General features: G+C 36.3%; 1 pseudogene; it reads right to left on the bottom strand.

Annotated features, from left to right (window-relative positions):
- GAPDHP26 (glyceraldehyde 3 phosphate dehydrogenase pseudogene 26) lies at positions 494 to 1,631 on the bottom strand (annotated as a pseudogene).

Raw genomic sequence — 13,753 nt, 5'->3', positions numbered from 1 at the left:
TGACTGAGTCCTCAAAAATGATTGCAACAAAAACAAAAATTGACAAGTAGGACCTAATTAAACTAAAGAGCTTCTGCACGGCAAAAGAAACTATATATATAAAAAAAAGAGTAAACACACAACCTACAGAAAGGGAGAAAATATTCACAAACTATACACCCAATAAAAGTCCAATTTTCAGAGTCTATGAGGAACTCAAACAATTCAACAAGCAAAAAACAAATAATCCCATTAAAAAGTGGGCAAAGGACATGAAAAGGCACTTCTCAAAAGAAGACATATAAGTGGTCAACATAGGAAAAAATGCTCAATATCACTAATCAGAGAAATGCAAATCAAAACCAATCTCACATAAGTCAAAATGGCTACTTTTTTTCAGAACAGGGGACTTTATTGATGGTACACAACACAGTATGATTCCCTGGGCCCCTCTCTCTTTAGAAGGTATGACATGGAAACTGTGGCAAGGGAGAGTCTCAGTGTGGTGCGGGACTGAGGGCCTCTCTCTTCCTCTGGAGATCTTTCTGGGGCTGGTGGCCTGGAGGTTCTTATTCCTTGGAGGTCATGTAGGCCATGAGTTTCACCACCCTGTTGCTATAGCCAAAATCATGGTCATACCAGGAAATGAGCTTGGTATAGTGGTTTTCAAAGGCGATGCTGGCCCCAGCATGGAAGATGGAAGAGTGGGTGTCATTGTTAAAGTTGAAGAAGACAACCTGGTGCTAAGTGTAGCCCAGGATGCTCTTGAGGGGGCCCTCTGATGCCTGCTTCACCTTCTTGATGTAATCATATTTGAAAGCTTTCTCCAGACAGCAAGTCAGATCCATGACTGACACATTGGTGATAGGGACATGGAAGGCCATGCCAGTGAGATTCCCATTCTGCTCAGGGATGACTTTGCACAGCCTTGGCAGGGCCACTAGATGCAGGGATGATGTTCTGGAGACCCCCAAGGCCATCACGCCAGTTTCCCAGAGGGTCCATCCATAGTCTTCTGGGTGTGGCAGTGTGGCAGTGAAGGCCATGGACTGTGGTCATGAGTCCCTCCATAATGCCAAAGTTGTCATGGATGACCTTGGCCAGGGAGGCTAAGCAGTTGGTAGTGTAGGAGGCATTGCTGACAATCTTGAGGCTGTTTTTGTATTTCTTATGGTTCATGCCCATCACAAATATGGGGGCATCAGCAGAAGGGCCAGAGATGATGACTGTTTTGATTCTCCCCTCTAAGTGAGCTCCAGCCTTCTCCATGGTAGTGAAGATAATGGGTAGACTCTACAACATAATCACTATTGGCATCACCCAGTTTGATTTTGGTGGGATCTCACTACTGGAAGATGGTAATGGGATTTCCATTGATGACAAGCTTCGCATTCTCAGCCTTGATGGTGCTGTGGAACTCGTCATGGGTGGAATCATATTAGAACATGTAAATACCATGTGGTTGAGGTCAATGAAGTAGTCATTGATCATGACAAAATCTACTTTGCCAGAGTTAAAAGCAGCCCTAGAGACCTGGTGTCTAATACAGCCAAACTCATTTACTCCACCCTTCACTTTCTCCATAGCATCTCAGGGATGTGGCTGGCACTACACAAGATGTAGCTGTCTGTTGAATGGGAGAAGCAGAGAGCCAGAATGGCTGCTATTAACAATCAAAAAATAACATATGCCAGCAAGGCTGTGGAGAGAAGCGAAAACTTATACACTGTTGGTGGGAATATAAATCGGTTCAGCCATGTGGAAATTGGTGATTCTCAAAGTTTAGAGATTTCCCAAAGAACTTAAAACAGCACTACCATTTAACCTAGCAATCCCATTACTGGGTATATACGGAAAGGAAAATAAATTGTTCTATCAAAAAGATACATGTACTCGTATGTTCATCACAGCACTATTCACAATAGCAAAGACATGAAATTTACCTGGGTACCCATCAACAGTGGACTGGAAAAGGATAACGTGGTACACATATACCATAGAATACTACACAGCCATAAAAAGAACAAAATAATGTCTTTTGCAGCAACATCAATGCAGCTGGAGGCCATTATCTTAAACAAATTAACAGAGAAACAGAAAACCAAATGCCATTTGTTCTCACTTGTAAGTGGGAGCTAAACATTGGCACATAGACATAAAGATGGGAACAATACACACTGAGGATTTCTAGAGGATAGCGGGAGGAAAGAGGGGCAATGGCTGAAAAACTCTCTATTGGGTACTGTGCTCACTACCTGGGTGACAGGATCATGTGTACCCCAAACCTCAGCATCATGCAATATGTCCATGTAGCAAATCTGTACATGTACCTCTCAAATCTAAAATAAAAGTTGAAATTATTTTTAAAAATCTACAGAGCTATTAATATAAATACAGTGTCATTGAAGTTATTATAAAAATAATTAAGAAAATAATTATACATTATAATTAAAATGAGTATGCCCCCATTTCTTGACAAGTAGCTCTTCTCTCACTAGTATGGTTTACCTAGGATTATAGATTTACTTACATCCAGACTCTAAAGGGATGACTTAAAGGAATCACAGTAAGAAACAAGAATTGTGAATATGCCAGTTTCACACTCCTGGGGTCTAATTTGGTCTCCCTGCTTAGACCAAACCCGGAGGATGATTAAGAAGATATTCACCCAAGGAAAGAATGCAGCAACAGGTCCATAGAGAATATAAAAGGCTGTAGTTTGTGTAAAGGAATCATACTCTGGAAAACGCAAGGAAACTATGAGGATAAAGTCACTTGTTGAAATTTGAGGAGATTCTTCACTGTTAAATCTAGAATGATAGAAAAGTGAGAAGCCATTAACACTGGTGTGAGAAGGAGTCATATCTTGCTTATATAGTCCCCATGTACAAGTGGGTATTTATTAACGCTATATGCTGCAAATACAAACAAGGAATAGAGGTAAGCCATGATACTTTGGGGAAACACTATCCTTATCTCAAAAGGAAAATAACCCACAAAAACAAAAAGGAAGCTTCTTAGCCTAATTCTTCATCGATTTCTAGTTCATTTCTAATTCATAATAATTTACATTTTCATGGAATTTGCACATAATATTGCCAGAGCCATTATGTTTATTGCTACAAATGGATTGAATCTGTATAATTTATACTTTCTTTCCAGCATCTTTTATTCACTCCTCAGAGCATAACTGGCTAAGAAGAGTAGTCAAATGTTCCTGGAGAAGCTGTTTGCTATTCCTTAGCACTTTCCTGAGAAATGTATATGCCTCCTAGTCCCCAATTACATATAAATATATTATGTCAAATATATATATACATATATTCACTATGTAGTGCTATTTTCCATAATTAATATACCTTAGTCCACCTCTGAAGAGAAACATTTACTAATTCATCCCTTAGGAAGGCATATTTCTAGCTGAAGAAAGCCTACACTTAACCACCATTGCATGTAAAGTTCTAAGCACAAGGCCTGGCACCGAGAAAACCCTCAATAAAAGTAAACTATTATTATTGCTGTTGTTTAATTGTACCCTTCTTAAAGTGTGAAGTAGAAATTTGTGCATGGCAAGAGTATGCCCTTCCTTTCCCAAGCACCTCATTAAAAATCACCTTATTAACATTTTGCTATCTGCCCAGGTGCTGCAGGCCTGCAACTTCCCACATAATCAGGGGACAAAATTTTATTCTGAAAAAAAATTCCTTTGTGTGATGCACTATTTTCTTTTTTTTTTTTTTTTTTTTTTTTTTTTTTTTTTTTTTGAGATGGAGTCTCGCTCTGTCGCCCAGGCTGGAGTGCAGTGGCGCGATCTGGGCTCACTGCAAGCTCCGCCTCCCGGGTTCAGGCCATTCTCCTGCCTCAGCCTCCCGAGTAGCTGGGACTACAGGTGCCCGCCACCACGCCCGGCTAATTTTTTTTTGCATTTTTAGTAGAGACGGGGTTTCACTGTGTTAGCCAGGATGGTCTCGGTCTCCTGACCTCGTGATCTGCCTGCCTCGGCCTCCCAAAGTGCTGGGATTGTTGTTGTCCTTTTGTAAAGAATACTGTAATAAGCATATTACTGCAAAAAGGCTTATTCTCTATTTGGGAGTATTTCCTTGGTTCAAGTCCTCACAGTTAATTTTTAATCTGACTTATCTCCTTGTTTCTATATTTAATTGCCTATTGAACTCCTCCATTCTAAAATTAACATGGTTGAAGCAGAGCAGTACTGAGGGTGAGACCATCCCTTGCCTCAGTCTAGGCACATTAAAGTATTTTCTGCTTCAAGAGAGACCAATCTTAAAGCATGAGCCAGGGAATTGCTGACAGGGGAAAGTGACAAGGATTGATGGGAGTGGGAAGTTGGTGGGGGAGGGAGAAATGGTAGCCCTCATCTTGTCCTTTAAAATCTGGGCCTATAGATCTTTGCTATGTAAACTTCGACACCAGTCAGAGCATGTAACACTTCACTCTATTTCAAAATGTATTAGCTCCTTTATTACCTTGTCAATCCTCAGAATAGTCCTGGTTCTGGACTATAATAACTTCTAATATCAATCCCATTTTACTGAGACTCAGAAACAGCTTGTCCAAAGCCAGATAAATAATAAAGTTGTACTCAAATCCAGATCTGTTCACTGAGTTTGTAACATTTCTACCTCACAGTGATGTTTCCTCTCCAGTAGTTGTGTCGGGGTGGAAGAGAAAATAAACCAGGCTACTAGATCTTTTATTCTTTGTGAATGTGTTCAAGGGGCAATGATGACAGGCATCAATCTGTAATTCTAACAAACACAGTTTAAAATCCCACATGGACTATCTCACACATTGATCCACCTGAGACCCCCCAGTTTGAGTGATGATAGAAGCAGATGGAAATTTGCAGTAGTTATGGGAGATTATATATGTTCTGGGAGCTCAGAAGGTCTAAGCACTTCACTATCTATAATTGAAAATGTACTGGAGCAAATGGAAGCTTGTGATCCCACATATATTTTATCAGATGCTTTGGACATTAAAGGAATTCTTGGGAAAATTATAAATTGGAATGCCAGTCACGTAGCTTTAACAGAAAAAAAATCATACTTAGTCTTTGGAAAGAAAAGAATAAATTGGCCATAAAATAATTCATAATAGACTTGCAGCTAGAATTGGTTATGAGAGAGTAATATGGTATAAAAGATAAGAAATAGAATTTCAAAAATGCATGGGAGCCATTGCTAATTCTTTATACAGGAGCAAGAAGAATTGTATGGTGACAGTTAATTATTCTGAATGGAATGCAAAAGAAAGACAAAAGTAAGCATTAAGAGTATAACATAAGTCACATGAGGGAGAAATGGAGGAAATACATTTTTCTTTATCTCCAATTCTATAGGAAGGAAATTCCACTCAAAGGAAAACCAACAAATTGCTTTCACAATAAAAAGTACTTGCAAACATAAATAAGTGCCTCCATTTTCTCATTTCATAAAGAGAGGGACTCTTACACAAAGAACTTGAGAGCCAATTTTAGTAAAAGGTAGAGGTATATTATTTAATTAAATACTGTAAAGGTACTTTCAGACAAAACGGTGGCAAGGGCTGTCCTTACCCCAAAATTCCCAATAAAATGTCCAACAAAGTGTATAAACAGAGTCTACAAATTAGAAATCAGCAATGGGTTCCTGACAGAATAGACAAAATGGACCAGATTAATGGAAACCATTAAAGAACGACCTGAGATGAATTACTGAGAAAGAATAGCATACCTGGAAAGCAAATGGGAGAAAGCCCCAGCGTGAAGGGTAAGAGCTTCAGAACAAGAGTTGGCTGTGTTGCTGGTGGGAAATGTAACACGTGAAACATTTGTGGACCAGCAGCAATGGGCACAATACTGAAGACCACTATAGAGATTTGCACTGGGTGAAAATGTGTAAAACAAATAGAGATGTGGGTTTTGCATGGGGTATGGTATGTGTGCATGCATGTGTTACAGAGAAGACTTCCATGGGGTTCCACCTTATAACAATAGTAAATAAAAGAAAGTCCAATCTTTAGGGCTGATAATCTGCTTCTTCCCTCCTCTTTGTTCTTTTTTCCAATCTGCACCTAAATTTCCATCCATAAAAAATTCAGACAGGAACACACAGGCTCTCTAATGGAACCACCTGAGTTCTATCCCCAATAGGGGTAAGAATATATTAGCACAAGGGAGCTATGAAAAAAAAATTCCACTGTTCAAAGAAAAGAGGAAATTGGCAGGTATGTTTCTTTTCTTATGCTGTCTTCATCAGGTTTTTGTGTCAGAGTTATCTTATAAAATGAATTGGAGAACTTACACCTTTTTCCATGAGCAAGAACAGTATAACTATAGTAGCATAGGAATGACCCATTTAAAAGGTTGGCTAAAAACTCAGTTATAAGAAAGTCTATACCCAGTGCTATTATAGGGGAGAACTCTTGGACAATCTTTGCCAATTTTCCTTCTTTTTAAAGTTATTTAAATTTCTTTTTAAGTTATTTTTTCTTTTCGATTTATTGCATCAAATTTGTGTGGGACTTCCCTCAAAAATAGAGACAGTAACAGCCCTGTTTTAAACCTTTTATTCTGAAATTGACAGTCACTTTTGGAGGCCCCACCCCATATCACATCACACATTAATTCTGAGTGGGGGGTAGTAAAATAACGGGCAGAAAAGATTTTTTAAAGTTTTTCTTAATTTTATTGTAATTTTAAATATATAGATTTTTAGGTTGGTGTAAAAGTAATTGCAGTTTTCACCATTACTTTTACTTTTGCACCAACCCAATACATGATTCCAAACTCAAAAGATTCAAAAATGTATAAAGTCCTCACTTGATATTGTTGATAGGTTCTTGGAAATTGTGACTTTAAGCAAAATAACAAAAAATGAAACCAGTTTTTTTTCTCATCAATGTTATAATGAAATAGGTTGAACAAAATGACAATATTCGAGAACCTGTTATGCATCATTTTGCTTAAAGTCACAGTTTCCAAGAACCATCTACAATGTTAAGGGAGGACTTACTGTACACAAAAAGTCCCACATTTTTGTCCACAAGCTACTTGGTTCCATTACCAAGACACGATTTATTGTATATTCTGAAATGATTTGTAAAGATTTATCTTTTGACATTAATAATTACAGCTTCTAATTAATAGTTGATGTTTCTAGCTTACTTCTCATTCTTTTTATTTTCAAGTGTATGTATTTCCATGCTTACAGTCCTTTGGGATGCCACAGGCTCTGGGTCTAATCACTGTGCTTGTAGTGCCCAATTGGCAACAGGGTCCTAGAGTAGATTTTTTTCTAACAACTCTGCATTCCATTTGCACCCCTCCCCAGTGACTCCCACCAGCAGCGACACCACCACTATGCCCTCTCTGTGCCCCGGGCAGACAATGAGCCAGAAAAATCTGTGACTTGGATTTTTAAAAAAATCTCAAGGACCATTTCTTAAAGAATGGTACTTCAAATCTTCTGTTCTTGGTCAAAGTCTTATCACGTCCACTCCCCCATTTCCAGAGACAATGTTGGAAGATCATAGAAATTGACATTTGGGATTGTGTGAGGTTAAACAGGTTTATAAGATTTACAGTACTTACATTCTTCCCAGAGTAAGCACCAGGTAACTATCCCAGAGCTCTCTTGCAAAGCATTTTACTTCAAGTTAAAATTTCTAAGAACCTATCAACAATGTCAAATGAGGACTTACTTTATACGTTTTTTAATCTTTTGAGTTTGAAATCATGTATTAGGTTGGTGCAAAAGTAAAAGTAATGGAGATATATATATATATCTCCATATCTATCTATCTATAGTTATATCTATCTATCTATCCATCTATATCTATATATCTATCTATATCTATCTATAGATATAGATATAGATATAGATATCTCCATTACTTTTACTTTTGCACCAACCTAATACATGATTCCAAACTCAAAAGGTTAAAAAGTGTATAAAGTAAGTCCTCACTTGACATTGTTGATAGGTTCTTAGAAATTTTAACTTAAAGCAAAATGCTTTGCAAGAGAGCTCTGGGATGGTTACCTGGTGCTTACTCTGGGAAGAATGTAAGTACTGTAAAAAAAAAAAAAAAATATATATATATATATATATATAAAAATATATATATATAATATATATTAAAAAATATATATATAAAAATCTCTCTCTCTCTCTCTCTCTCTATAGAGAGAGAGAGAGAGAGAGGGAGGTACCCCTAAGTATGTGGTATGTTTGGAATTACACCCAACAAGATCTTAAAAGTGATAATCCCTGGATCACAGAATTATGGATGTATTTTTTCCTTAATTCTACATTCTAGTTTTTCCATAGTAAAAATGAATAACTTGTGTTTAAAAATGAATTAAGAGAAAAATGTGTTCATGCTTTAAACTAAAAATTATACTGTAAGAGATTTATTCAGAGGTAGTAATTAATAGGGACCACAAAAGCTGGGATATGGGGATGTTTATCACAATATTTGTCTTTTTTAGTTTTAATTGAAAACTACTTCAACACAAAAAATTCTACCCAGAGTACCTAGATACCAGTCACCTGTGCATAGATAACAATTACCTATAGACCCCTGCACCCAGGTTAATCATGTATCAAGATTTTGCCATTTTTGCTTCAGATCTTTCTATAAAAAATAAAATATTACATTCAAAATCAACACTTAATCATCCAAATTCCCTGCCTCCTCAGTGTTAACAATCCTCATGAAGTTGCTAAGTAGCCTTCCCATTCATGTTTTTGTACCTTTTTTAATAGGCATACATCTCTTCAACAGTACATAGTATTTGGGGGCAATTATAAAATTTACATGAATCATGTCTTTCTGTATGACTGTACCATAAGTTCCTTTTTAATAAAGCATTGTTTCAATATTTATCCACATTGATGTATATAAATTTATTTTGATTGATGTTACTCTATTAATGTATCATAATGTATTTATCTATTATTTTATTAGTGCACAGTTTAAATTACTTAACAGTTTTTCATTATTAAAATGATCACCGAAAGACATCCTTGTACATGTCTCTGCACATATGCCAAAGCTTATCTCCGTATATACCTAGATGGAGAATTGCTAATCCCCAGGGAGATACATCAACTTTCTAGACATTGCTAAATTACTCTGCAAAGTTAGTGAAGCAATTTATACTCCCACCACCTACATATGGGAGTTCCTGCTTCCCCATATGTTCATCAATAATTGATTTCACCTTTTTTTTTCTGGCCAGGCATATGGGCATAAAATGGTAACCCATTTTATTTCTCTTCTTCAATAGCTAAAATGTTATTTATAGTTTCATATAGTTTTTGACCATTTGGGTCTCATTATTTGTACAGTTCCTGCATATATCCTTTGCATATTTTTCTACTGGGTTATGTTATCTCTCTTTTAAATATGTAAAACTTTTTATATATTCTGGTTACTAATTATTTGTCAGTTATAGGCATGAAAGTGTTCTTCCAGTCTTGACTTGACTTTTCATTTTGCTTATTTTTTTATATAGAATGTTTTCATTTTAGTCAAATATACCTATGTCTTTCTTGATAGTTGTGCTTTTGGTATCTTAAGAAATTATCCAATATCCTGCCATCATTTGTTTTTCCTGTGTCTGAAGATAACTTTACAGAAGCCACTGCTCCCCTGCTCCCTCTGCCAGTGGACTGAGTTGGAGAAACCACTCTGCCCAGTGCAGTGTCTACTATATCTGATTCTGAAGACATCAAGGCTCTCGGGTAGTACAGCTCTCTCCTCCTTCATTTATAAAGTATCTCCTCAGAGAGTCTTAGTTATTATATGGCATTTTGTGACTTTAAAAAATTTCATAATTATCAAATACTAAGACTTTTGGAGTGGTACAAGAAAAGCAGTTGAGGATCAAGAGGCCTGTACTCAGACACCACTCTTATGACAGCAGAAACCATGGCACAAAATACAATATTTTTATTAGTATAATATCCAGCCATAAAAAAGGATGAGTTCATGTCCTTTGCAGGGACATGGATGACACTGGAAACCATCATTCTCAGCAAACTAACACAAGAACGGAAAACCAAACACCACATGTTCTCACTCATAAGTGGTAGTTGAACAATGAGAACACATGGACACAGGGAGGGGAGCATCACACACCAGGGCCTGTCGGGGGTGGGGGACTAGGGAAGAGCTAACATTAGGAGATGTTATGTAGCTAATGTAGATGAGGGGTTGATGGGTGCAGCAAACCACCACGGCACATGTATACCTATGTAGCAAACCTGCACGTTCTGCACATGTATGCCAGAACTTAAAGTATAATAAAAAATAATAAAAATAATAAAAATATCCACCAACTATAACTCCCTCACAAAACATGTAATGCAAACTTTAAATTCAAGCATGCTTATAGAAGTTCAAATAGTTTTACATTTACCTAGAACTATTAATATTCTTATTTAACAAATACACATGAATAGTTGACATTTATGTAGAGACGAAATAACGTTCTTGTAGGAACAAAGAAGTTTCAGCATTCTGAAAACGTCGATTTTTTTCTTTCAAGTGTAACTTTAAATAAGAAACATAAAATTATACCAACAATATTATAAGGATGAAAAACAGTAAAAGCCAAAATCGAACAATCTCCAGATATTCTGCCCCTTGAGAAAATGTATACAAGAAAAACTTTAGGTGACAAGTACCGCCAACGGCTCTTAGAATTAACTTCTGCATTATCAGGACTCTTCTGCAATCACTACTAAAATGCAGTATTCATTGTATGATCTCATATGTAGAGTATAAAAAAAGTCAAACTCATAGAAATAGAGAATAAAATGGTGGTTACCAGAGATCTAGTCAAAAGACTAAAATTGTCAATTACATATGAGGAATTATTTCAAGGGTGCTATTGTACAACATGGTGACTAAAGTTAATAACGATATATTTGAAAATTGCTAGGAGAATAGATTTAAAGTGTTCTTACTGCAAAAAATAAGTAATTCAGATAATGCATATGTTAAATAGCTTTATTTAGCCATTCCACAATGTATACATATAACAAAACATCATGTTATACACCATAAATAGATATAATTTTACTTGTCAATTAAAAATAAATAAATGCATACATATATAAAATGCAGTAGTCATAAGGGGGAGAAAGGCATTGAAAATACATAAAATTCCTGAATCAGAAACAACCACGAAGTCTCTTTGCAGTCAAAGTGTTGATAATTACATTTAGAATGACCATGAGAGGGGTATTTTCATAGTGAAGAAAATATATATGTCCTATCATGCCTGGAACAGAGTAAATATGTAACAAATGAAAATTTTCATTATTTTTAAAATTATTACAGTCAACAAGGAAAAACAGAACCAAATCTGAGGGAACAGAGGGCAAATTATTATACCAATTCTGCAAACAACAGCATTATTTCCTCTGACATAGACTGCACAACAAATGAAGACTCTAAAACAGATTCTAGTTTCAGCGAATGTATGAATAATGATGTTGATGTCACTCTAAGATAGAGACAAGTGAAAAATATAAAAGATAAGAAGAGTAAAAGAATGATGAGACCTTTCCTAAATCCAAATTTAATATTGTGACTTTAACCAGTCATTTAACTCTATTCTGACAACTGTCACAATAAGAGTTCTGTCCATTCTAAAGGTAGAGCATAAAGCTGCATACACGTTTAGTCTTTAGTTGCAATTCAGAGGACCCCGTGCACTCCACCTTCGGTGTAAAGAAGCAGATGGCTTCTTTAATTTAGTTTCCTAATTATACATTCTGTCCTCAAGTGTATAATCTGTCCTGTTTATCAAGAGTTAAACCTCTGCATCCAAGTGTTCCTTCCAACTAAGAGAATGAAAAGGAAATCTTCTCTCATTAAGGAAATTACAGGTTTTGAAATACGTTGATGTTTGAACAGAATATTGTAACATAATACAGTTGTTTAACATTTTATGTAAAAGTTTCTAAATTATTCTGTAATTACCTTGTTTAAAAATTAAGAGACAATGATGAGATTTGTAGAAGTATTTCCTAATTTCCTTTCCTAAGTCATACAAATTTTCTCATTTTCCACCAATGATATCACAAATACATCTTTCTAAATACCACATCGGTTTAACTTACAAGAAATCCTTTCACATAGTCATGGCAATCCTAAGCTATACTTCCATATTTGAGCTAAGTTTTAACTTTCTCAAGTCGTTATCAAACTAATGATAAAGAATTTATGTGGAAAAGTAAAAGTTACTCTTTTTATTTTTATTTTCACAGAACCTTATAATCTTTTGTAACACAAAATAGATGTGGGAAATACTGAAGCTTCCAATATGCTGCTAGATCTCCCCTTACTATGTAATACACACACAATTACTAAGTAGAAAACACATTCTGATCTGTAACTGTTCTAGAAATACAAAATAAATCTGAGTTCCTATTACAAAGAACATCAGACTGGTTAAAATATGAAAAACCTATTAGGTGAAACTTATAATTGTCCTTAAAGAGCCCTAAATATTTGAAAAGTGTCCTAGAAACAGAAGGGAATGGGAAACACAAGGATGATGAAAAAGTTGATCTCTTGGAATCAAATGACATTAAATAAACATTTACTCTCTGAGATTCACAGATTCAAAATTGGATTAGGCACAGAATCTGGCCTCAATGAGTTCACATATAATATGTAACGTAAGAGCAATACTTATACATTGTATAAGGTATTGTCCAAAGTGCCATACAACCTCCGACTCCTGGGTTCAAGTGATTCTCCTGCCTTGGCCTCCTGAATAGCTGGGATTACAGGCGTGTGCCACCACGACTGGCTAATTATTGTATTTGTAGTAGATTCGGGGTTTCACCATATTAGTCAGCCTGGTCTTGAACTCCTGACCTCGTGATCCACCCGCCTTGGCCTCCCAAAGTGCTGGGATTACAGGCCTGAGCCACCGCGCCCGGCCTTTTTTTTTTTTTTTTTTTTAACCAACCAGGGGCTTCTGCTAGCAGTTTTCTGCAAGGCTCCTCCCGTCCTGGAGAACTGCCTGGGAGAACATTTCCAGGCAAGGCCTCTGCGACACTCAGTCGGCCTTGCGTATTTCCAGTTTCCAAACTTTTTCTTGAATGCATTTCTCTCTTCAATCTCCCCTTGGTCATGACACTTTGAAGCATCGCTGGCTACCTGAGTTCATCCTTGCCAAAGACTTAGATTCTGGCCCCTCTTCACCCAACACCTCAGAGCTACCTGCTATTCTCACTCATTCCTGACTTGGGTGGATCCTGGAACTCCAGCTGGCCCTGAGCCTGGGCACTCTCTTGCTCCTGCTGGGAAGTCAGGGAATCTTTCAATGAACTCAAGTTAATGTAATAAAGTTTAGAAAGATGCAGGAACACCTAAATTGATCCCACAAGGACATTAAGTTGTCAAGTGCTTAAGCAACTGAAAATTATGACAATGATGATAGCCATCTTTTTTCCTTAGGTACTCTATCCCTACATACAGGTGAAGAAACAGGTTCACATGGGTTAATAACTTGCTTGAGTTCACACAGTTTGTAAATGTGAGGAACATAGCTGATATTTGATCCCAAGTTGTTGAGCTCCAAGGCTGTGCTCCATGTAAGAGTATATAGTTTTATTTTTATTTTATTTTATTTTTCTTCTGTCTAGAGATTTTTATATTTTATATATATATAGGCTTATATGTACATATATTTTCATCTTTTATATTTAACATATAATTTTTTTATTATACTTTAAGTTCTGGA

This window comes from Homo sapiens, chromosome 9, assembly GCF_000001405.40.
Source record: "Homo sapiens chromosome 9, GRCh38.p14 Primary Assembly".
NCBI classification, from domain to species: domain Eukaryota; kingdom Metazoa; phylum Chordata; class Mammalia; order Primates; family Hominidae; genus Homo; species Homo sapiens.
Note: the sequence above shows the minus strand (reverse complement) of the source record. Positions and strands in the feature narration are given on the sequence as shown.